This window comes from Homo sapiens, chromosome 3 (genome assembly GCF_000001405.40).
Source record: "Homo sapiens chromosome 3, GRCh38.p14 Primary Assembly".
In the NCBI taxonomy this organism is placed as follows: Eukaryota; Metazoa; Chordata; class Mammalia; order Primates; family Hominidae; genus Homo; species Homo sapiens.
The window spans coordinates 24463635-24488975 of NC_000003.12; the positions used below are offsets into that span (position 1 = coordinate 24463635).

The 25341-nt window shown below is 37.9% G+C and overlaps 1 protein-coding gene across 52 annotated transcripts in view; it reads right to left on the reverse strand.

Annotated features, from left to right (window-relative positions):
• THRB (thyroid hormone receptor beta) overlaps positions 1–25341 on the reverse strand; it is a 378556-nt gene that overhangs the window by 346482 nt on the left and 6733 nt on the right. For 3 of the 52 annotated variants that reach the window (NM_001374824.1, XM_047448797.1, XM_047448816.1), the window contains one exon: positions 20289–20461. The exons of the other annotated variants lie outside the window; for them this stretch is intronic. The gene's annotated coding sequence lies outside the window, so the exon portion shown is untranslated. Of the gene's footprint in view, positions 1–20288; positions 20462–25341 lie in introns of those variants that run through there. 52 annotated transcript variants of the gene reach the window in all.

A 25341-nucleotide genomic window follows, 5' to 3' on the forward strand; every position in this document is an offset into this window, starting at 1 on the left:
TAAAGCAAGTTTAAAATAAAATATGCTGCTTGGGGAATTTTCACTGTGATTAGAAATTGCTTCAAAAGTATACTTGATTTGGACTTAGAGTCTCATGGTAGACAAACTATTTCCCAGAAATTAGAAAGGCAGACTTGAGAGCAGTCTGTCAGCAAGCATTGCCAACTATTCTGTAAGTATTAATGAACACCCATGAGTGCAGAACTATTAATTTACATCACAGTGCCACCACTGATGACACTGAAGCAGTAATCTGTTAAATGCTATCCCCTTTGTAAGAGTTATCGACACTTTGAAAATGCAGTAAGAACACTCTTAAGAAATGGTTGCGGCTGGGCGCGGTGGCTCACGCCTGTAATCCCAGCACTTTGGGAGGCCGAGGTGGGCGGATCACGAGGTCAGGAGATCGAAACCATCCTGGCTAACACGGTGAAACCCCATCTCTACTAAAAATACAAAAAATTAGCCGGGCGAGGTGGCAGGCACCTGTAGTCCCAGCTACTCAAAAGGCTGAGGCAGGAGAATGGCGTGAACCCGGGAGGCGGAGCCTGCAGTGAGCCGAGATCGCGCCACTGCACTCCAACCTGGGCGACAGTGAGACTCCGTCTCAAAAAAAAAAAGAAAAAAAAAAAAGAAAAATAAATGGTTGCATTAGTTTGGTTAATATGGCACATTACAACACAAATGCACAGATAAAAATAAATCTATGTCATTAAACTTTAGCCCAAATAATCAATGGTGATGACAGTCTTTCTAAGATCTTGACTTAATATTTTATTTTGTCTAATATGAATATTGCCATTTTAGCTCTATTTTAATTAGTATTTTTCCAATGTAGCTATTTCCATCTAATTACTTTCAAACTTTTTGAGTTACTATTTTTAGGTCTGATGCTTGTAGACAGCATATACCTGGATTACGGGTTTTATGCAATCTGGAGGTCTTTCTTTTTAAGCTGAAGAATTTAGTTCATTTACTTTTAATGTGATTAAATATATATTTGGACTCATTTCAGTTGTCTTATTTGTTGTTATTGTTTTCTGTTGATCACACTTTTTTTGTATTTGTTTCTTTCCTGATCTCTATTGAATTGATTATTGAATTTATTCTCCTCTACAGGTTTGGAGTCAAACATTTTATTTCTGTAGAGATTATTTCTAAATTTGTAAACCAACCAAAATCTAAAGAAAATCTTTTTTTATCATTCTATAAAATAATAGAGACTGTGGAAGTTATTACTTACAGTTCCCTCTTGCTCCATGCTGTTATAGTAGTTAAGTTCTGTATTTTTTTAACAAATACCCACAAAAAATAGTTACTATTAATGTCACTGTTGTTATTTTACAAACAGTACTTATTTAGATTTCCCATTATGTTTACAAAATTCTTCACTCACTATTTTTTTTTTCCTGCAACCTACACCTTCTTTCTTGGTTCAATTCTCTTCTCATTCAAATATATTCTGCAGTAGTTATTTCAGCAAGGGTCTGTGAGTGGTTAGTTAGCTCAGTCTTCTTTATCTAAATCAATTTTTAATTCATCCTTAGTTTTGAATTATATTTTAGCTAGTATGGGATTTTGGGTCGATGATTTTGCTCAGGATTCTGAAAAACACATTCTGCTGGTATCTAGCGTCTATTGTTGCTAATGAAAAGTTAGCTGGCTATTTAATTGATTTCTTTGCAAGTAACGTTATCTCTACTCCAACCCCATTACATTTGATTGGTTTTATTCTCATCAGGATGAGGTGAAGTGGGAATCTGCCTGGGGTTTAGAATTATTTTTTGAGACTGAGTCTCCCTCCGTTGCCTAGATTAGAGTGCAGTGGCATTATCTCGGCTCACTGCAACCTCCAACTCCTGGGTTCAAGTGATTCTCCCTCCTCAGTCTCCCAAGTATCTGGAATTACAGGCATGCACCACCATGACAGGCTTAATTTTTGTATGTTTAGTAGAGATGGGGTTTCACCATGTTGGCCAGGCTGGTCTTGAACCCCTGACCTCAAGTGATCTGCACACCTTGGCCTCCCAAAGTGCTGGTATTACATACTTGAGTCAGCGCACCCGGCCTAGAATTTTCCTTTAATCTGAACCTCTAAGTCCTGGCTGTATGCTAGTTGATTTCATCAGCACTATCTTCAAGTTCAAGAGATTTTTTTCCCACATTTATATCTAGTCTGCTCTTTAAACAGACTTTAAAAATTGGCTTTGGTCCTTATTTTTATTAAATTTATACTTTCACGTGGCTTAAAATGTCAAATAATTTTATAAATTTGTTATGAAGAACTACTCTCCCATCTCCCCCTTCCATTTCTTCCTTCCTAGAGATAATCACTCTAAGCTCTTTATTTATGAGAAGGGAGTCTTTACCTCCATGTCCATAATAGCATGACTGTATTATGTGATATTTCAGTTTTAGGCATTATCTATTTACTCCCCAGTATGGAGAATAAGCAATCAGCTGGTTTTCCTCTGTGCCCAACATACATGTGCAGCCTTCTGAATTAGTTTGTAAATGACTTCCTTCTTTCTATTTTTTTTTCTGTTCTCCCTTCCTGATATTTCTCTTATTAAGATGTACTGCTGCCAAAACTAGTCATTTGATTATCTTGGGTTTTATTGTTTTTTTTCCTCTTATTTACCATCTCCATTTTTTTCATTCTTTCTGGGAGATTTTTCTCAATTTTATCTTTTACTTGTAGATTGATATGGTTGGGCAGAATTGAGGGTACCCTCAACTCATCATCCTTAGTTTCTATCACTTGGGCTACTCAAATTTCCCTTAGAAGACTTATTTTCAAACTACCACCTGGAGAGTGAAGGCTTGGATGGTAGGGTTCCGGAAACCCAGTGGGGAAGAGTTCTGCTGGCTCCGTGTTCAGTATGCACACATTTATCTAATTCTTGTTTAGAGTACCCTCCAATCTCAACTACAGGCACACTTTGGAGATACTGCAGGTATGAATTTAGACCACTGCAGTCGTGGATATTGCAATAAAGTGAGTCACATGAATTTTGCTTCCCAGGGCATATAAAACTTGTGTTTATACTATAGTGTAGTCTATTAAGTGTGCAATAGAATTATGTCTAAAAATAATGTATATACCTTAATGTAAAATATTTTATTGTGAAAAAATGCTAATGATTATCTGAGCCTTTAGTGAGTCATAATCTTTTTGCAGGTGAAGCGTCTTGTCTTGATGTTGCTGGCTGCTAACTGATCAGGGTGATGGTTGCTGAAGGTTGGGGTTGCTGTGGCAATTTCTTAAAATGAGACAATAATGAAGTTTGCTGCATCAATTAACTCTTTCTTTCATGAAATGTTTCTCTGTAGTGTATGATGCTGTTTGATAGAATTTTGCCCACAGTGGAACTCCTTTCAGAATTGGAGTCAATTCTCTAAAACCTTGCCACTGCTATATCAACTAAGTTTATGGAATATTCTAAATCCTTTGTTGTCACTTCAACAATATTCACAGCATCTTCACCAGAAGTAGATTACATTTCAAGTGACACCTCTTTCTTTGCTCATCCATAAGAAGCAACTCCTTAACCATAGAAGTTTTATTATGAGATTGCAGCAATTCAGTCACATATTCAGGCTCCACTTCTAATTCTGGTTCTCTTGCTACTTCCATAGCATCTGCAGTTACTTCTTCCTCTAAAGTTCTCGAAGTCATTTGTGAGGGTCAGAATCAACTTCTTCCAAACTCCTGTTAATGTTGATATTTTGACCTCCTCCCAGGAATCACGAATATCCTTATTGGCATGTAGAATGGTAAACCATTTCCAGAATGTTTTCAATTTACTTTACACAGATCAATCAGAGGAATCTCTATCTATGCAGCTATAGCCTTAAGAAATGTATTTCTTAGATAATAAGACAAAAAGAGTCAAAATTACTCTTTGATCCATAGGCTTCAGAATGAATGTTGTGTTAGCAGACATGAAACAAAATTAATCTCTTTGTGAATCTTCATCACAGCTCTTAGGTGACTAGATGCATTGTCAGTGAGGAGTCATATTTTGAAAGGAATGTGTTTTTTCTGAGTAGTAGGTCTCAACAGTGAGCTTAAAATATTCAGCAAACTAGGCTGTCATCCAGGCTTTGTTGTTCCATTCATATAGCCTAGGCAGAGTAGATTTAGCATAGTTCTTAAGGGCCCTCAGGTATTCATAATGGCAAATGAGCATTGACTTCAACATAGTCATCTGCTGCATTAACCTCTAACAAAAGGGCCAGTCTGTCCTTTGAAGATTTGAACCAGGCATTCACTTCTCCTCTCTAGCTATGAAAGTCCTAGATTGGCCTCTTCTTCCAACAGAAGGCTGTTTTTTCTACATTGCGAATCTGTTGTTTGGTGTAGCTATTTTCATCAATTATCTTAGCTACATCTTCTGGATAATTTGCTGCAGTTTCCACATAGGCACTGGTGCTTCATCTTGTACTTTTATGTTATGGAGACAGCATCTTTCCTAAAACCTCAGGAACCAACCTCTGCAAACTTCACATTTTTCTTCTGCAGCTTTCTTACCTCTCTCAGCCTTCATGGAATTAAGAAAGTTAGGGCTTTGCTGTAGATTAGGCTTTGGCTTAAGGGAATGTTGCGGCTGGTTTGATCTTCTACCCAGAACATTAAAACTTTTTCCACATTAGAAATGAGGCTGTTTCACTTTCTTATCATTCATGTGTTCATTAGAGTACCAGTTTTAATTTTCTTCAAGAACTTTTCCTTTGCATGTACAATTTGGCTGTTTGGCACAGGAGGCCTAGCTTTTGACCTATTTCAGCTTTTGACATGCCTTCCTCATTAAGTGTAATCATTTCCAGCTTTTGATTTAAAGCTTAAAAAACGGGTAACTCTTCTTTTCACTTGAACACTTAGAGGCTATTGTAGGGTTACTAACTGGCCTAATTTCTACATTGCTGTTTCTCAGGGAGTAAGGAGGTTTGAGAAGAGGGAGACAGATGGAGGATCACTGAGTCAGTGCAGCAGTTAGACACACACATTTATTGATTAGGTTGGCCATCTTGTATGGGTGTCGTTTGTACTGCCCCAAAACAATGACAACAGTAACATCAAAGATCACTGATCATGGATCACCATAACAGATACAATAAGAATTTAAACATTTTAAATGTTGTGAGAATTACCAAAATACGACACAGATAAGTGAGCATATGCTATTAGAAAAATGGTGCCAATAAATCTGCTTGACGCATAGTTGCCACAAACTTTCAGTCACATAGTTGCCACAAACTTTCAGTTTGTAAAAAAATAAATTAATATCTATGAGGCACATAGATCTTAATTTATTAAATCAGGGTAAAGCAGGGTTCAATAAAATGAGGTATGCCTATATATCTGAGGTCCAAACTCCAGTGACACACGCACAAACACACAGACACATCCCCATGGCTTTGCCAAGCTGACTACTACTAATTCTTCAAAACAAATTAAGCATCACCTCCGCTGGAATGTTTTCCCTGATCTCCTCAGTAGACACCCCAATTTAAATGTGTCATAGAAAACAGGGGTTCCCTCCATCATAACAGGTATTCCCTGCCTCTTTAATTGCCTATCAAAACATCTATTTCACTCCAGAACCAGCTGGATCCGTCTTGGATTTCTGGGCTCATAGCACAATTTCTAGCACATAATGAGCTCAATACGTTCATGAGTTATTAATTAATTCTTAAGGCAGCCCCATTAAGGGAGTTGCTCATATGCACAGGAGCCACCCAGGAGCTGGGAAAACACCTCGGTAAACTCCACTGATGCCTTTAGCATCACCATTAGCCCTATCCCTGACTGTGCAACTCCCCAACAAACCAGGGAACCCTAGACAAGCTTTTCCCCTCAGATGTCTTCCTATGTCTCAGATGTTCTCATTACTTGAAATATGTAAATCAGGGGAAGCATTCAACCTACTTCTGAAGAGTATAATGAAATATCTATGAAAATGATTATTACTGCTTTAAAACACAATGGTGTTAGATACATGCAAAAATCAAGCTACACTACAATGAGGTGTAAGAAAACCAGGCAAGAAATAGCTACTGTATAGAAGAATACATTTTATTAACTTATTTAGAGAAAAGTGTTGAAGAGCAACAAACTATGAGCGCGTGGTAAAGAGTGAGGTACGAGTAAAGAATGGAAAACCGTTTGGGTAACTTATTTTTATACCTGCTTTAACTGTGACAGGCATAATCTTTTAGAATCTGCATAAAGTTTCAAGTGAGCAAAGGGAAACAATGGAACAATCTGATGAAGACTGACACTTCAAATGAATGAAGTCAATGTCTTCCATAGTGTAGAATTTTAAAGTCAGAAGGTTAGTTAGTCCAGCTTCCTCCTCTAGGTGCTATCCATGACTGTTCTTCTAGAGGGTCATTTAGAATCCAAGAAATACTCCCAAAGCTGAAGCCCTGGCACCTTGCTGGATCCCATCACTGATAGGTTTTGTTACCCTTGAGTCATGTGACTCACACTAACTTTACCCACTGCTCCTAGCTTTGCTTGAATATCACAGAACTCTAAACACCAGACGCTAGATAGGCACATTACGAATACTCTCTTTGACTATTCTGAACAATTTATGAGAAACAAATTGTCACTATTTTGAAGATGAAGGGACTGAGTCACAGAAACATTAAGGATGTTATTAAGGACTCACAGTCAACAACTGGAGAGGAGCCAATAGTGGACAGGTAGTATGATGGAGTATTTAAGAACTTACACTTCACGTGACTGCCTGGATTCAAATCCCAGTTCCACCATGTACTAGCTATGTGACCTTAGGAAAGTTGCTCAACCTCTCTAAATCTACTTTCTAAGGCTGTTACGAGGATTAAATAGGTTAACATACGTAAAGTACTTGGAACGGTGCCTGGTACTTAATAAGCCCCATAGAAATGTTTGTTGGATATATAAAAGGATGGCAGAACTGTGAATCAAAGCCAGGTTTATCTGGCTCCAATGTAGAGACTTTTTTTTGAGACAGAGTGTCACTTCTTCTCCCAGGCTGGAGTGCAATGGTGCGATCTCGGCTCACTGCAACCCCTGCCTCTCAGGTTCAAGCAATTCTCCTGCCTCAGCCTCCCCAGTAGCTGGGATTACAGGCACTTGCCACCATGCCCGGCTAATTTTTGTATTTTTAGTAGAGAGGGGGTTTCACCATGTTGGCCAGGCTGGTCTCGAACTCCTGACCTCAAGTGATCAGCCTGCCTTGGCCTCCCAAAGTGCTGGGATTACAGGCATGAGCCATCACACCCGGCCAAGACTTTTAACTAAGACACTTCAACATGTCAATCTATCAAGTGTTTGAAGGCTGCCACACATCTCTGAAGTTTTTCTCTTCTCCATATATTCCTCTTTCCTCAGTGGTCCTTAATATTAACTGGTTGCCTGAATTTTCTACATCCTTCTGGATTTTGTTCTGACTGAAAGAGTGGGACCCAACATTGCTACAATACTTCAGCAGATTACAATAAAAATATTACCTCCCAGATTTGAGTAGAATTGTTCTTCTAATGCAGTGGTTTGTAGAAAGCAGAAGTTTCCAGGAGCATCAGCATCGTCTGGGAAATTGTGTGACATGTAAATTCTCCAGTTCCACCCTAGACTGACTGAATCAGAAACTCTGGGGATGTGATGCAGCAATCTGTATGTTAACAAGCTCTCCAGGTGATTATAACGCCGCTCAAGTTTGAGAACCATTATTTTGATGGAGCTTAAATCTGCAATAGGGGTTAAGGCATCTACATGCTTATCAGTGCATACTAAATTAATAATTGATAGTCTTTTAGAATTTGGGCCTCCAACATATATCTAATGCAATGTTGTGGTTTTAAATCCTTTTTCAGGCCTTCTTGATTTGGACCCACCATTCCAGTCCCTCAAGATCTCTCTAAATCCACACTCTGTAGTGGAGCATTTTGGCTCTCCTTCCCAGCTTTGTGGCCCTTGAACATTTGGTAAGCATGTCATCCATATCTTCATGGTGTCCCTTACAACATCCACAGAGAGGACTGAGGCAGAGAGCCAGAGGGCTTTGGCAGATCAACCCTCTCTAGTCTGCTGCTAATCCACAAAAACATCTCATGCATATGGTTGTTCAACTTGTGAAATTTCCTAAATACTATCAGCCTGCATATCTCCATTTTATCCAAGATTACACCACGGAAGACTTACTTTGTTCTAAAAATAAAAGCCAGAAACAATCCTTATGAGTAGGGAAGCTATGGATATTCTTCTGAGGCTTCCCTTTGTTCCTCCCTTTGCCTACTCTTTCCTGTCCCCACAACCAGAAGAATATGGCCTGGAAGCCAGGCAGACCCTCAAAACCTTCAGACCAAAGGCATACCTCTGCTAAGAAGAGTTTCTTTTCTCTTTCAGGTATTTTTAGTCTTCATAGTCCTACAGAGTAGGACATTTTCCTTAAAAACATTTTTACAGAATTAGAAATTGAATCTCAGAAAAATTAAGCAATTTTTTCTCAGATCTTATCACCTAGCTAGTAGGGACACCCATATTTATAGTCCAGTCTGTCCACCAAGGTTCATACTTTGCCTGCTATGTTATATCAATACTACTGTGTCTATACATGCCAGGACAAATAAAAATGTTGAGGATCTTTGAGACCCTCTTAATCTACTCTTCATTCCAGAGAGTACTAAACTCAATTACTGATGGACAAAACAACACATATCCCAGCTACCTGAATGGCAACATCTTGAAACATCTATAGGAATCCAGCCCTCAGTAACTTCTGCAAGAATCCCCTAAGGCGTGAAGACTCATCTGGCCACAATTCCTTTTGTCCTGGAGACTACTGACCCCTAAAAAGGAATGTCAACTGTGCAAGGGGCTTTTACACAAAGCCAATTATCTCCTCCTACTCTCTCTGCCAATCTTGGAAAAGTCAAGTCCTGGACTTGTTAAAGAAGGTGATTCATCTCTGTGTGGAAAGAATGCCAACAGCAACTGTATAAAAGGTTTCTTTCTTCACATCCCTAATTCCTGAGGACCTGATAGTCACTTACTGTAAGGTAAGTAATTGTGAGCTTCCAGATTTGGCAGACAGTTGAGTAATAATGGAAGGGAACACTATTCAGACCTTCTCTCACAGACAGGTTTCAAGGGAGTCCAATCAAATTGACTGACAGAAGATTCAATTCTTCTTGGTGAAATAAGAAACACAGGCTCGGGAGACCTTCAAGCAGCAAATTTGCACTCTTGTGCCCTTTTATTTATAAATTATAAATTTTTATAAATTCTTAATATTTACAAATTTATACATTCTTTTATCTTCCTATCTTAGGAGACTCAAGATGAGCTTATCTGTGACTCACCATCTGTCCTATGCTCTTATATACAATCTACTTCCTTCCCGTTCTTCATGTAAATGGACTGGCCAAAGCTTTCTGAGAGGATGAGTATTATAATTAAGAAACAGAGTAGACAATAAGGCAAATGATAAATTTCACAAATAAACATGTAATAGAAACTTCAGCATTTTAACATGTAATAGAAAATATTGTTTATAATTTTATTCTGAGAACCTAGCATGTTCTTCTAAAAGTTTCAACCATTTTGGCATATCAATTTTTAAAATACGATTAGTGATGCATTTATTCGTAGTCTCAGGACTCAGAAAACCAAAAGAGACAATTAAAAAGTTCATTGTATTTCTCTAATGACCAGTGATGATGAGCTTTTTTTCATATGCTTGTTGGCCACATAAATGAGATACCATCTCACACCAGTTAGAATGGTGATCATTAAAAAGTCAAGAAACAACAGATGCTGTAGAGGATGTGGAGAAATAGGAATGCTTTTACACTGTTGGTGGGAGTGTAAATTAGTTCAACCATTGTGGAAGACAGTGTGGTGATTCCTCAAGGATCTAGAACCAGAAATACCATTTGACCCAGCAATCCCATTACTGGGTATATACCCAAAGGATTATAAATCATTCTACTGTAAAGACACATGCACACATATGTTTATTGCAGCACTATTCGCAACAGCAAAGACTTGGAACCAACCCAAATGCCCATTAATGATAGATTGGATAAAGAAAATGTGGCACATATACACCACATATACTATGGAGCCATAAAAAAGGATGAGTTCATGTCCTTTGCAGGGACATAGATGAAGCTGGAAACCATCATTATCAGCAAACTATCACAGGAACAGAAAACCAAACACCACATGTTCTCACTCATAAGTTGGAGTGGGAACTCATAAGTGGGAACAAAGAGAACACATGGACACAGGGAGGGGAACATCATACACTGTGGCCTGTTGGGTGTTGGGGGATGAAGGGCTAGGGGAGGGATAGCATTAGAAGAAATACCTAATGTAGATGACGGGTTGATGGGTGCAGCAAACCACCATGCCACGTGTATACCTATGTAACAAACCTGCATGTTCTGCACATGTATCTCAGAACTTAAAGTATAATTTAAAAAAAGTTCGTTGTATGCTTTGTTTTATGTGGTATTACACTAAACCTGCCAATCAAGAAACAAACACTCTTTTGTAGTCTCTTTTATTTACAAACAATTTTCCTGGTTAACTGTTAAAAATAACATTAACATATCTTCAGAGCAAGTACAGTACTCCTTCAAAAGCATGAAGCATAAAGCCAAAGGCAATTCAATAGGATACTATCCTCAAAATTTAGTCTTCCTTTGGTATGGGCACAGGGTAAGAAAATGCATGGCATTTGGCCCATCATACTCTTATACTTCCTCCATAGCAGACATCACTAATCAATCACAGTATTTTTTACTGCTAACCTCAGAGATCTGGCCTTGTAATACTTCCAAACACATCAGCCCTAACAGTCACCAAAATCTACTGGAGTTGGCATAAAACTATTTGCCATCCTAGGCTTTGTGATAGTCTACCAGAATTTGTAGAATCAATGGCTACTGTTCTGGTTCAGGTTTCCTATGTAAGGAAAACAAAATCAAACAAAATACAGCTACAGCAACTCAAATACACAATCCTTCCAGGAAGGATTCTTTGATAGTTCATTTAAAAACAAATCCTCAATTTTTCAATGGCTCAGAAGACTGCTGCAGACCATATGTGCTATACGTAGGTAATAATGGAACTGGAAGTACAGGGAAAAGTTCAAGCCTCAAACATAATTTACAGATGGGCAGAGCTGATTCAACTGTAAGGACCTGTATCAGATAGGTGACTGCTGCAATACTTGCTTTTCTTACTAATTGAAAAGTATATATGAAATTTGTCCAATACGCTGTAGGTAGGATAATGACTTAATATGATGAACTGCACTTTTTAATTGAAAGAACATTACGTGTATCATAAATCACAAAGGAAAACTACCACACTAATACGTGGCATTCTATACCTCATGTTCTAAAAACAAAATGTTCTATTTGGCTTGGGCCTCAAAATTCTTCATGTTCTAATTAGTCTTGAAGGCAACAGGGCTACTTTCTACAACTGTAACCATCATGCAACAAAAAGTGAGAGTCTGAAATATGATGTAAGGATTTTTTTCAAGTGAGCAAAAAATTGCTAAAAATATATTACAACAAATACGAATAGCTATAATTTGATATTATTTAAGTTAATATTTTATTTTGTAGAATAAAAATAATTTATGAAAATTGCAATGATCAAACACAATATTGAAGAACTATAATTTACTTATTTAGAAATAAATAAATGTAAGAAGTTGTTACAAGTGCTACCATTTGCAATATCTTCAATATACTTTCTTATACTAATTTTCAAATTACACATACTTAATATATATACAATGTTAGAATTGTTTTTCTGTATATTTGTATAATTTGTGTATGTGTGTATATATGTGTGTAATTTGAAAATCATATATGTCAACATATATATAGATAGATAGATATAGATAGATATAAAATCTGAAAGGCCATGCACTAGCAAGAAGATGACACTACTAGTGACTAGTTCTGGAACAATTAAACATGACAGTTTTTTAAAAATGAGCAAAACCACACACTGTAACACTTATGCCTAGGCGAGAACACCAGGTATCTCATCTTCACTATCAAGCAAATTATTTTAAAATTTCCCCCAAAACACATCATCCTTAAAGAATATGAACACCATCAACTGTTTAAAAATGTCTAATAAAGTAAAGATTCTATATAACAGACATCCTGATTACAAAAGCTAATAAAGAAAACATGTTTACAGTTCCTTAAAAGCATATGTAAAATCATGTTTAATATAATACTGCTTTAAATAGCTCACTCAGGTCTTTCTAAGGAATCTCTCAAGTAAACAATCATTTCAGGAAAATCTGAGGCCCTGAAGATCAGGAAAGAGCCTGAGGGCACAGTTGGGAAGCTCAGAAGAAGCTGCTAGGTCCACCCAGCTGCTGCTCTTTGGTGGGGAAAAGGCACTTTCAGAGACAACTCATTGTCTGGCACAGATTCTGCCTGCAAGATCGAAAGTACTTCCCTGGAATTGTGTCTCAGCCTGGCATTAGCACCCTGCTGCACAAACCACCTTGGTTTCACCCCATGGACTGGTTCTTTCCCACAGTGGTGAAATCTGACTCTCCAAGGGTTCTCTGAGGCTTGGCTTCACCCAGATCACACCTGAAGAGCAACTTGGTTTTCTTTCCCTCTACAGGGTGTTCATAGCTTCAGAGGGATTACTGCTACAAATGTACAAATTAACACAAAAGTTTTACTATCTAAATTTAAGTACTCATTTAGGTTTGTTAATTTTGTATAATCTTTTAAATTTTTAAGGTATTGTTTCAATGGTTGCCATCTTCAATCAGAGGAACTGAAACAAAAAAATTAAAATGAAAAATTTACTTTTTAAATCTGCAAAGCTAAATGAGTGTTGAAGAAATGTAAATGATTAAAATTCCAAAAAATTAGTTGCAAGTTTGTATCATTTACGGAACCGCACTACCAATTTGGGAACATCCTGTGTCTCCCATAACCTGGCGAATTTCTTTTGGATTCAAAGGTATTATTCCCTTCAAGTTAATGAATGTCCTTTGGGCAGCCTACATTTGTTGTTTTTCTCTTGAATTAAGATGAGTGTTTCATTAAAGGTATGGTTTTTGGGATTTTGAGAAATTATCTGATAGAGTATGGTTTTCTAAAATTAAGAAAAAAATTAAAATTCTTATTGTTATTGCCTTGCATTTGAGACAATTTTAACGTTCCTATTTGCTATTTGGACATCTCATTCAGGAATCTCAACTGAAGAAAATGATCTCATTATCTCAATCATGTGGACAAACATCATCAAATGCTTGCATTTGAACACTGGCCAATATATAAAAAGAGACATTGGGTATTTATGGTAGTGGTTTTCAAGATTTTTTTTTTTTTTTTTTACTGTAACCCCAGTCAGAATTCCATTTTGCAATCATGATCCAGGACATACATATAAAGGGGTGTGTGTGTGTGTGTGTGTGTGTGTGTGTGTGGTTTCACATTTTTTGGATGAAACAAATGTTTCAAATACATTTGATATACTCTAATACTTTTCTATTTTAGTCTGTTTACTTAAAACTTTTGTTGATCGTGACTTATTATGTTAATTCAAGGCCCACTAATGTGTTGGCAGGTAAGTCTGTAAAACAATAAACTAAGTATAATGGGTTAGTCAATACACAGCAGGGTTACTACATTAATCCTTTTATAGTTTGTTTTCTGCACTTTTTAAACTTCATTAGAAGTAGAAAAGTAGGAAGAGAACAAAAGTGCTTCTCAAACTCCAGAGTGAATCCAAACTCCAATGCAAATGAATCCCCTGGGGACCTTGTTTAAATGCAGATCCCGGGTTCAGCAGGTCTGGGCTGGAGCTCTAGATTCTGTATTTCTAATCAGCTCTTGGTGATGTGTATACTGCTGGTCTGGGGGCACCACACTCTTGAGAAACGAGGATATGGAAGTCAGTCTGAGGAGATTGAGAGGAACAGACCTAACAGAAATACAGAAATAACTGCATGGGACATTCCACTACTTTGTAGCTAACGCTGCCAAAGCAAGGGTCCTAACGCAGGATACGTACAGCACACACAAGGCAGCAAAAGAAGGCAACATCGGGTCAGTAGATCTCTCAGTGACACCGGCACCATCATAATCTTCTTCTCTGTGATCTTTATCCAATTTCCTTTCTCCATAACCTACACCCGCCCAAAAAAGTACAAGCAATGCAATCCTGTTTCTGACTGCTTGAAAGCTACTTAGGAATAGATTACCTGAATATGTGGACAGCTACTAGATCAGGCAAAGCAGAAACTGGTTACAGAAAACCAGCAAAAGAGGATCCAAACAAAGAGTGTGGAATATGTATTAACATTTTATTTAAGGAACTTAAACTGTGAAATTCACTTGTCAAAATGGTCTATGTTCCTAAAAATATGTCTTAATGTGAAGAAGTAAATCCTATCATTCAAAGCATCATTTCATAATTCTAAACGATATAGTTAGAATTACCAAACTAGGAAATGTTGAGCCAGTCATTGTAACTGTTTCTGGTACAATACTGGGTTTTTGTACTTTCAGTCTCCAGATTTTGGAGTATGCATATATTGATAAAATAAAAATATTTTTAGTTTTGAGGAAGCTATCTTTTATGTCATCATTTTTTGTAAGTATCTGGAGGGGCAGGGAATATGTTGTTCACTACTGTACCCAAGCATACCTCTGGCACATATTTGGTGCTGAATAAATATTTGATAACAAAAGAATGAATGGATGAACGTAATTTTAAAAATAACATGTTACATCTTACTATATACTTTATTAGCTAATTTGCCATAACATATTCACTTTATTGTACTGAGCAGAAACCTTTAAAAAGGAGGCAGAAGTGAAAAGTGGAATTCTCCAAATTACAATTGTTTACAATGCAGATGGGGAAAAAAGGAAGGAAAAGAAAAAAGAGATAGAGGAAGAGAGGGGAGAAGGATAGGAAGAGGCAGTGAGAGACAGAGTACAAGTGTAGGACAATGATTCGTAATTTCTGGGTGGAGTAGAATATTGGCCCACGGAGCAGGAGGTGTGTCAGAATCAACCGGAGAAAATGTTCCAATTTTCCGGATTTGGAAACATCTCCCCCTACCCCATGAGGGCGAAGATCATCATGATGAAAAAGCAGCTATAACTGATGAAAAGCTTAGGGGGTGGGGAGAGATTAAGAGGTAGAACTAAAGTCTAAACAGTGGTTTCCAACAGGGATGATTTTGCCCCCAAGAGGATACTAGGCAATGTCTAGAGAAATTTTTGATTGTCATAACTGTGGCAGGGGATAGGGGGAGCAGTGCTAATGAGATCCAGTAACTAGAAGCCAGAGATGCTGCTAAATATCCTATAATGCGGCCGGGCGCGGGGGTTAACGCCTGTAATCCCAGCACTTTGGGAGGCCAAGGTGGGAGGATCACGAGGTCAGGAGATCGAGACCATCCTGGCTAACACGGTGAAACCCCGTCTCTATTAAAAATACAAAAAAAAAATTTGCCTGGCGTGGTGGTGGGCGCCTGTAGTCCCAGCTACTCGGGAGGCTGAGGCAGGAGAATGGCGTGAACCTGGGAGGCGGGGCTAGCAGTGAGCTGAGATTGCGCCACCGCACTCCAGTCTGGGGGACAGAGCGAGACTCCGTCTCAAAAACAGACAAACAAATAAACAAACAAAAATTCCTAAAATATCCTATATTGCACAGGGCAGCCCCTCCGACCCCAACAAATTATGTGCTCTAAAATGTCAACAAGTCTGAGGCTGAGAAACCTTGCTCCAGGGGAACACGGGGGCATGGTAGAGACAAGAACAAGCTATTAGGAGAGAGAGCATGCACTCACCATGACCAGTAGGCTGTCTCAGGTGGAAAGTAAGGTCTTAGAGAATGAAGACAGTATGGGAGGAAGATGATGGGGCTGAGGAAGGCAGTGGGAGATCTGGCTGTGACTCCTGGTTCAAGGGATCCCTCTTTAGTAGATCCCAAATCAAATGCTGGTGTGGTCAGCTTAGTGTTCCAGCTAAACGCAGTTTGCCCCTCATGAGAACCATGCAAAAGTCCAAATGAGGCCAACAATCCTCAGGTGGAAGTCGGGGTTACAGGCTGCCCTGCTGGTAGATGCTGCTGGTGCCTCGACTATACTCCCATGGCACCACTTCAGCGCCCACCACCTTGTCTTCTGACTGCCAACACCTGCATTCCTTTGCCTGGAGGATTACTCTTGGCTGCCCAAGTGATAGTCCTGAAATGACAGGGAATCATTTGCCTCTGAAGGCAGTCCCCAACAAATGCCTGACAGATTTTGGTGAATAAATACCTACTCCCTTGCCTCTAGGATGGGTCAACCACAAGACAAGCATTCCATGCTGTATAAGAGTCCCCCAGTGTGACTAAGCTCCAGGTGCCCACAATGCTTAACTGATTTGATAATGCCCACTTTACTGGCTGCTGTCCCTTCCTGGCTCTTCCCCAATTTCCTACTGGTACTTTCTTTACCTCCCCCCTAAAAATCACTTGCACTTGAATTTTCATCTCAGAGTTTGCTTCTGGGGAGCCCAAACTGATGGTCAGTCTTTTGAAAGAATATTGCACTGGAAAGCACATGATCCTCAGGTTCCTCTGATGTAAGAGCTCTCTGGGTCCACAGTATCCCTTCCCTTAGGAGGGGCCTCAGGATTACTAGAGATTGGCCAATTTTTCCATCCCCAAAGTCCCAGGCACAGAATCCTCAGAGGACCCACTTCCTTCAGACCATTAGAAATACAACTTCAGGAACATTTCATTCTCTCCCATTGACAGAAGCAAAACCACATATTTTGCTCAAGGATGGCAGGGATCAAATGACTCTGGAGCACAAACATACTCCTTATTAGGGCCAATGTCCCTAAAGTCAAACTTGTACAAGAACTCTAATGAGTAACAACACTTGGCTCCAAGAAGGGACTCTTACTATAATTCTAAGAGGCAAAGAGGAAGAGTGACAACTGCCATGGTTCAAATGAAACTTGAATGAATTGCTGGTGGGGATTTAAAACCACAAAAGAGCCAAAATGAAACAGTTATTTCAAAACACTGCCAGACAATGAAGAGAAATGAATTGTATAATAAAATCCCTTCAGGGCAATGTCCAATCACTCATCCTCCATGTAATGGAATTCTGAGATGCTAAAAATCTTAAGAAATAAAAGGCCAAAGAAAGCCAGGCATTGTGAAAGCTGCCACAGGAGCTCTGTGTCCAGTGAGTTCCTCCTATCAGTGAAAAGAAAATTTAAAAAGCGATGGAGCTTGACACTTTCTGAACAGTCTCACAATATCATCCCTGCAGAAATTTGAACCTGTCACCTAAGGAAGTTATTGCTGCCATACAAGTTGAAGAATCAGGCTGCCAAGCTCTGGGTCTTTTTGCCGTAAGCCATTCTTAAGCAAGTTTCCTTACAAATCATCAGATTGTGGATTTTTGCTAGGTTTCATCTTTGCAGAGAACATCCACTTTGGGGCCATGATTCTTCCCAACTTAGTTGAGGAATTGAGAAGATCGTCTATCTCAGTTTTTATATGTGTGGATGCGTTTCTTTCTGTTTTTTTTTTTTTTTTTTTTTTTTTTTTACGGAAAAAGAAAACAGCAGAGCTTTTCTGCAGGACAACCTATTCCCTTATTTATAATGCAGGACAGCAGGGCCTTGTAAGTGTATATTCTGGTTCATCTGAGGACACGCGGTTGCTCATTTTAAAATTAGATTCATCCTAATTATATGAAAAGAGCTTGCATGTGGTTGGTCAAAACATCAGGAAAGTATTACTCAGCACGTACCTGCTGGGCTTGCCTTCTAACCTGCACTGAACTTGTTTAACACACAGTCCTTGCCCTCTTAGAACTTAAAATCTAGCAAAGAAATATCTCATTGACAAATAAGGGGTGTGGACACTGAATAGTGAAGAAATATAGATATATAGCAAGTGACTAGACATGTAATACTACCTGTGGACAAAGGGGTGAGGGAAAGTGTCATTGGAGTGGCATGTTTCAGTGGGGCAGAACCAGAGAGGATTTTAATCTCAATTCTAATTAATCAGGGCAGGATTTCAGGAGTTCCTTGAATAAAGGATATTGGGAAGTCAGACTGAAACATAAGTGGGGGAAAATATGCATTGGACTCCAAGGGACAAAAGTTTGAATATGGACCATAAAAAAAAAAAAAAAAAATCCAGAACAAGGGAATCCTGAGCAGGCTGGAATCCTGAGCAGGTAAGTGAGTGCCTATTATTATTACCTTTTGCAAACCCTGAGGGATCATTAACTTGGACAACTGACCACAGAACACACATCTTTGAGGCTGAAAAATACTAGGTCATCTATAAAACAGAGATTGTTATCAATAAACAGACAGTAACAATTTAAAACTAACTAAAGAATAACTTATGCAAAATGATCGAGTAAATTTGGAGTCTGACTTCTGGGTCTCTCTCTTTGATTTCCTGCCTTTTGGACAATCATGCTCCATACATCCAAGGTACAAGTTTACTCAACAAAATTAATTTTACTACTTCCGTAATAATGAAATAGTAATAAAATTGTTTTCCATGTATTGAGCACTCACCAGGTACTATGTCCTGGCTAAGCAGTTTATAGCCATTATCTCATGTAATTTCTTCCACAGTGCTGTGAAGTAAATACCAACATTCTTTCCCTTGCACAGATAGAGTGATTGAAGTTCAAAGAGATTAAACTTGCCAGAGACCATAGCTGGAAGGTGGCAAAGCCAGGCATCCAACTCAGTCTGCCTTTCAATGCAAGCATAGATACCTACCCTTCCCTTCAACACCACTTCCTGATTCATTCATTCATTCATTCATTCATTCGTTCTTTCTTTCTTTCTTTCTGTCTCCCTCTCTCTCTCTCTCTCTCTCTCTCTCTCTCTCTCCAATGTCCTAGCTCCCAACCAATCCAGGACACAGGACCCCCAGCTTCCACCCTCTCACAATACACTCAACCAATAAGAGAAGGGGGTTTCTCTTCCCTGCTCCGTGACAGGGCATTAAAATAGGACATAATTGGAGCCCACTGCTGTGCGATATGCTGAGTCCTAGAGACCTTAATCACAGACCACAAATACACTGGGGATTGACAGCATTATTTCTCACCTATTATGGAATATTAATAGTTGGCTAGATTCTGTACCTGAGCGACATTATCAGAATTAACTTCTTAATATTGCAAGTTTCCCTTATAAAAAATATTTAAACTCAGAAATAGGCTTGTGAAGTAGAAGACAGCCTTATTCAGTCAAATAGAAAGACACATACTGTTTATTTTTCTTTTATATGTTCTCTGCATGATACTTCTTATCATTGGTTAGTCTTATTTCTTAATAATCTAAAATGCATGTGTCTGTCCTTTGTGTCTTACTTCTTAAAATATTTAATAATAAAATAATAATGTTTTCAAAAAGGTAAAATATGCATAGTTAGAAGAAAAGATTTTCTTTGTTCTTTTTACTTACCTCACTTTTATTATTCATGTCCCTTATATTTCTTTCATTTCTATAGACCTGGCTGAGTATTTAATAAAACACACTTATAATTTGGGAAGAAAACAAGCAAATATTCTTTTGGATTAGAAAAGTGTGTGTCCCATTATAGTAAGAAATTATAGAGTAATTACTAGGTTAAATATTAGGAAAATTGGTATTTTTAAGTCAAGATATTATGTAAAGTCATTTATTTAAATAATCTAAAACTGTTATAAAATTATTCCACGAAAAATGGGTTCAGTACCTCTGTCAACATACCAAGAATCAGGTCTGGCCTTTGCTTTCTGACATCTCTATTTTAAATTTTAGTTCTCTTTAAAAAAAAAAAAACATGTTAATAATGTGCTGATAATGATATGAGGATTCATCAGCAAGTTCCCAACACTCTTTGCATACTATGAACTACACAGATTTATCAAGGAAATAAAAATGATGGTCAAAGACAAAAAGGTAAAACCAGGTCTAGCAAGGTTAAAGATGACCCCATAAGGGTGAGAAGGAAGTAAGGAAACAGAATTAGGTCAGATAGGAGGGTGGTATGGCACAAAAAGTAGAACTTAGTTACCTCATTGAATTAAAAAATAGTAGCATAGTGTAGCAAAGACAATTCACTGCTCACCAAATTCTTGCTCCCCTTTCCACAGTACAGACACATTGCTGAAAAGCAGCTTCCCAGTAGGAGCTATATTTCCCATCCCATCCCGCTTTATTTAGGTAGGGGACATGCGATTTGTTCTCACCAAGGGAATGTGAGCAAAGTGATTATGTGTTTCTTCCAAGCCAAGGTGGTTAAGAAGCCAGCATACTCTTCACTTTCTGGTTCCCCTTTCAGCGGTCTGATGCAATGAGCCCATGACCTCAGAGCCATGTCCTGAAGATGGAGGAGCCCAAGACCAGAGGAACCCCTGAATCACTGTGGAACAGAGCCATCAATCAATCAGGAACAGCAATTTTCAACTCACATGAGTGAAAAATAAACTTCCATTTGTTTGAGCTACTGTGCATTTTTTATTTTATTTTTGAGTGCAGATGGTGTTTTACTAACCAATATATCTGGCAAGAAAAAGAAAATGTCTCAATCACTTGAATTAATGATATAATTTACTTTTTCATGGAATTTGATAGAATCCCAGAGTTTTAACTCTAGAGTCCTGTCATCAAATTACAGTAGCTACTAGCCATAAGTGGCTATTAAGATGTGCTGCAAGTGTAAAATACACACCAGATATCAAAAGCTCTTTAGAAAGTAAAATATATTCTTAATATTTTTATATTGATTACATGTTAATAATATTCTAAATATATTAGGTAAAATAAAATATAGTATTGAACTTAACCTTACTGGTTGCTTTTCACTTGTCTATAATGTGGCTACTAGAAGAATTTAAACTACATATATGGCTCACGTTCTATTTCTATTAGACAGTGTTGGGCTACCAGGGGTTAATAAACTATAGCTCATCGCCTGTTTTGTAAACAAAATTTTATTGGCACACAGCCACACCATTTGTTCACATATTGTGTATGTCTGTTTTTGTACTACAATGGCAGACTTGAGAGTTTCAACAGAGACTGTGTGTCCTGAAAAGCTTAAAATATTTATGATATAGCCTGTTATAGATAATGTTTGCCAACCCCTGGGCTAAAGATAACTTTGGAATTATCTAATATACCTACAAGTATCATTTTATGACTAAAAATTAAAGCTCAGATCAGCCAAGAGACTTGTCCAGAATATTTTTATTCTTAATTAGGTGATATTTCCATAATGCCACCCATTCCTGCATTCATTCATTCATTCATTATCTTCATCCATTTCTAATCTGGATCATTAAAGAAATAAAATCCCCATCAGTTAGAAAATCACTTAACATTAAATACTGAAATGCTTCACACTAAATAATGAAACTCAACACGACAATGTCAATGCTATTTCAATGTAATCATATAGAAACACGTTCCTGTCAGACAGAGGAGCTATAGGCATGTACATACAATGGCAGAGAAACCCTTGAAGTAATATTCAACTATGAATAGGCTGTGAGATGGTCTTTAAATTAAGCTTCACTTGAAAACATTTTAAAGAGAATCTATCATGTAATCTGCTTTCAAATTAAACTTGAAATTCCCCCAAATGTAGAGCTAGCTTGCTAAAAATATTCATTATTGGAATTAAATTAGAAAAATTTTGCCACATCTCGGAGAAAGTGAAATCTGTTCCCAAAGACATCACAGCAATGTATAACTGCCTCAGCTCCAGCAGGCATCATCTCTCAGTGGACTATTCTAAGAGTCTCTAACTGGGCTCATCACCTCCAGTCTCTCACTCAAGACCTATCCCAAAGAACTCTTTTAAAATAAAAATCTGATTTGCTGAACATTCTTAAGTCTCTTCAAGCTATCAAGACAAAGTCAATCTTCCTTATTGTGCCCAGGAAGGTCCTCGCCATCTGGCTCCTGCCTGCTCCAATGGCCTCATTTATAGTCCTTTGCACATGAGTCAGGCTGGGCTCCTTACAATTTCCCAAATGCTTCATACTTTTACTTTCACTTCATAGGCATATCATATTTATTTCTGCCTAGAACCCTCCCACCCCTATGGGTTCCCACAATGTACATTGTACTTAACTATGTCATTGGACTTACAAATATTTTAATTGTCTGCTAAAGTATTAATGCTACCACTACTATAAATAGCTAATATTTAGAAATACTTGACTGTGACTCAAGCACTATATTATTTCATTTAATCTCCACATATGATAGATGAGGAAACTGAACACATGCAATGAAGCCAGGTGAAACCAGCATACAAATCCACACATTTCCCACTCCACGGCCCCAGTTCCAAACGTCTACACCAGCTGTTCTCAATAGGAGCAGTTTTGCCTCCCAGTAGACACCTGATAATATCTGGAGACATTTTTGATGGTCACAACTGGAGGGTTGGGGGAGCTATTGGCATCTAGTGGGTAGAAGCCAGCAATGCTGCTAAACATCCTGTAATATATACGACAGCCCTCCACAGCAAAGGATTATCTGGCCGCAAATGCCATAGCGTAGAGGAATTACCAGGCTCAAAACTCAAATAGTACCTCTGCTGAGAAACACTACTCTACACTAAATCACCTCCTGTAGATTGCCCCAGAAGATTCCGAGCATCTCATCCATACGACAAGAATTTTTAAATGCTCTACCATGGTGTCTTGGCACTTACCATCGTGTCTGGCACTTGGCAGATGTCCCATGCATTTGTGACCAACGGACAGACTCCAGAAGAAAAAAATTACTTATTATAAGGCTTGATTTTTGTGGCAACTTCAATAAAGATAAATTGAAACACATATTCTTAATCAATGATACATGAATGCATGTGCACCACATTCTAGTGCATGGCTTCACTTTAGCAATACCTTATGTTTATGAACCCATAGAGTGGGAGATAGATTAATAAGCCAGATGCCTAGGATCTTTTTCTCACAAGTCCTCAAGGAGATGAGATGCTTTTCAAATCCCTTATAACTGCTACATTACAGGACAAATGTATAGGTTTATCATCTACATAGGTCATAACTTAACTTGTTTCAAAAAATATTTTCTGTGTAAGGTTCCCTTGGTTCCTTTTTTTTTAAAGAAAAATAACACAAGACTAAACAACCTTATTCTATTCCCTGTTGCAGCTACAATTCAGATATAGGTACTTTATTCTAGATCTCCAGATGTTAGAAGTATAGCAGAAATTGCAGTGAAGCCTAGGTAAAATTTTAAAAGTAAACAGAAATACAGCAGAAATAAACCATTCTCCAGCTTATATAAATTAATACACCTAAACAGCAGAAAGAAAGTCAAGGAAAGATTATGATTATAATGTTTTCAAAGGGACAGAAATTTAGCAGGACTTTTGCATTCTTGCAAAACACTTCAACAACAGGCAGCATTAGCCAGTGTTGTATACAAGTTGCTAGGGGTTTGTGTGTGTGTGTGTGTGAAAAAGCAAAAAGGTTCTGTTGTGGTGCTAGATACTGGTCATTTGTCACTTTTTATGAACTGTATTAAAAGGTTAAAACATATGAGCCTGATTTTTAAAAAGTGTGATATAGTGAACTGTTCCTCACAACCTATTGTGCTGAACTTTTGCCACTTAAGGTTTTAGACACACAAGCACACACACACACACACACACACACAAATAAAATGGTGATCAAATGAATTTTGCTACCTGCTCTCCCCTTTCTTGGACATTTATAATGCATGCTAGTATAAAAATAGGCTCTGGAAACTTTTACAAGTTGTTAAACTCAAGATTTCCCAAACATAATTGAGCCTAGAGTAAAATAAACAAATACAGCAGTAAAAGAAGCAAAAAGTAATAATATAAGAAGAGGATCTGTCAACATATTCAGGAGCAAGTAGAAGGGACTGAAAACAATGACAGGGTTTGTGGCTTGGGACATCAGGGTGACTGTAGCATTTCTCACTGTGATTTAAAAGCTGAGCATGGGAATCACAGCAGAAGCCAGAGACAAGCAGTGCCTTTTCCACTGTATGTGAGAACATGACACACACTTGTCACAGAGACAGATTCTGCAAGTATGGACATGCCAGTTGTTAAGACATTTATGACTATAAGACAGAAATGTGCAAAAAGATGACCAAGCCCAAGAAACATTATGATTGCTATCATCAATCATTATTTTCTGAGCACCTGCTTTGTGTAGACATTGATGAAATCAGAAAAAACAGAATCCCAAGAGAAACAAATGGCAAAGGGAAGAAGTACATCTGAACCATCTTGAGAACCAAGGAACAACATGTCACAAGAGTTACAATACTCAACAGGTTCCTGAATGTCAGGATCATATATTATGCTACTAACACCATGACTATCTTGTCAACATTCCTCATCACAAACATTCCTGAGCCTCCAGGAGTCAAGTAAGTATATTCCCTAATAAAGAAGATATGCCTGCTTTCAGTCTACATTCCTTTGTCCACACTTTTGTTTTAATAAACTTGTCACTCATGACTTTCTTATAAATGCCTAAATTCTTGATCACAGAAGAGAAGCCATGACTCCCTGAAGACCCTCTTTGGGAAGTAGGAAGTTGAATGAGCAATTCAGTCCAGACCAATCCTTTCCTAATTGTGTATGCCTCGTCTGCAGTCCACTCTTAGAACACAGAGACATGTATGTATTGAGGTGTTTGTGCATGTGTGCATATGATATGAAATAAACTATAGATAGTATTTGTTAAAATAGGATTAGGAAAAATAAAAATTGGATAAAACATGCAGATCAGCAAGACAAACGTAAGTTGAGATATGTAAGCCACAAGTTTCTTCACTGTGATGAGTTGGACCATGAATTTGCCTTCTTTTTTTTTTTTTAATCTCTAAATCACGATTGTCTCAGCAGATCTGAGACAGATGTCAATGATTTGCACATTGTCCATTGTTCAGTAATTTTCAAATAACTAGAATAAAATAAGCTATTCAATACAATTCAATATATCTTAACTGCTAAAAGAATATACTTCAAGATCCTTCACTGCCTTAAATGAATGAGTAGTAACTGGAAAAATAGCTTTAATAGACAGAAGGCACTGTCTGACAAATAGCAAACAACTGTTTGCTTTTAGCACATAAAGTGGTAAGATGATATCACAGAGGGTTTTCGTTAAGTTCCTTTAAATTATTTTGCCATAAAAGATTTTTTAAATAAAAAATATTGCTTCTTAGAATAATTTTAAACATATCGATGGATGTTGGTCAATCAATAAAATCAACTGAATG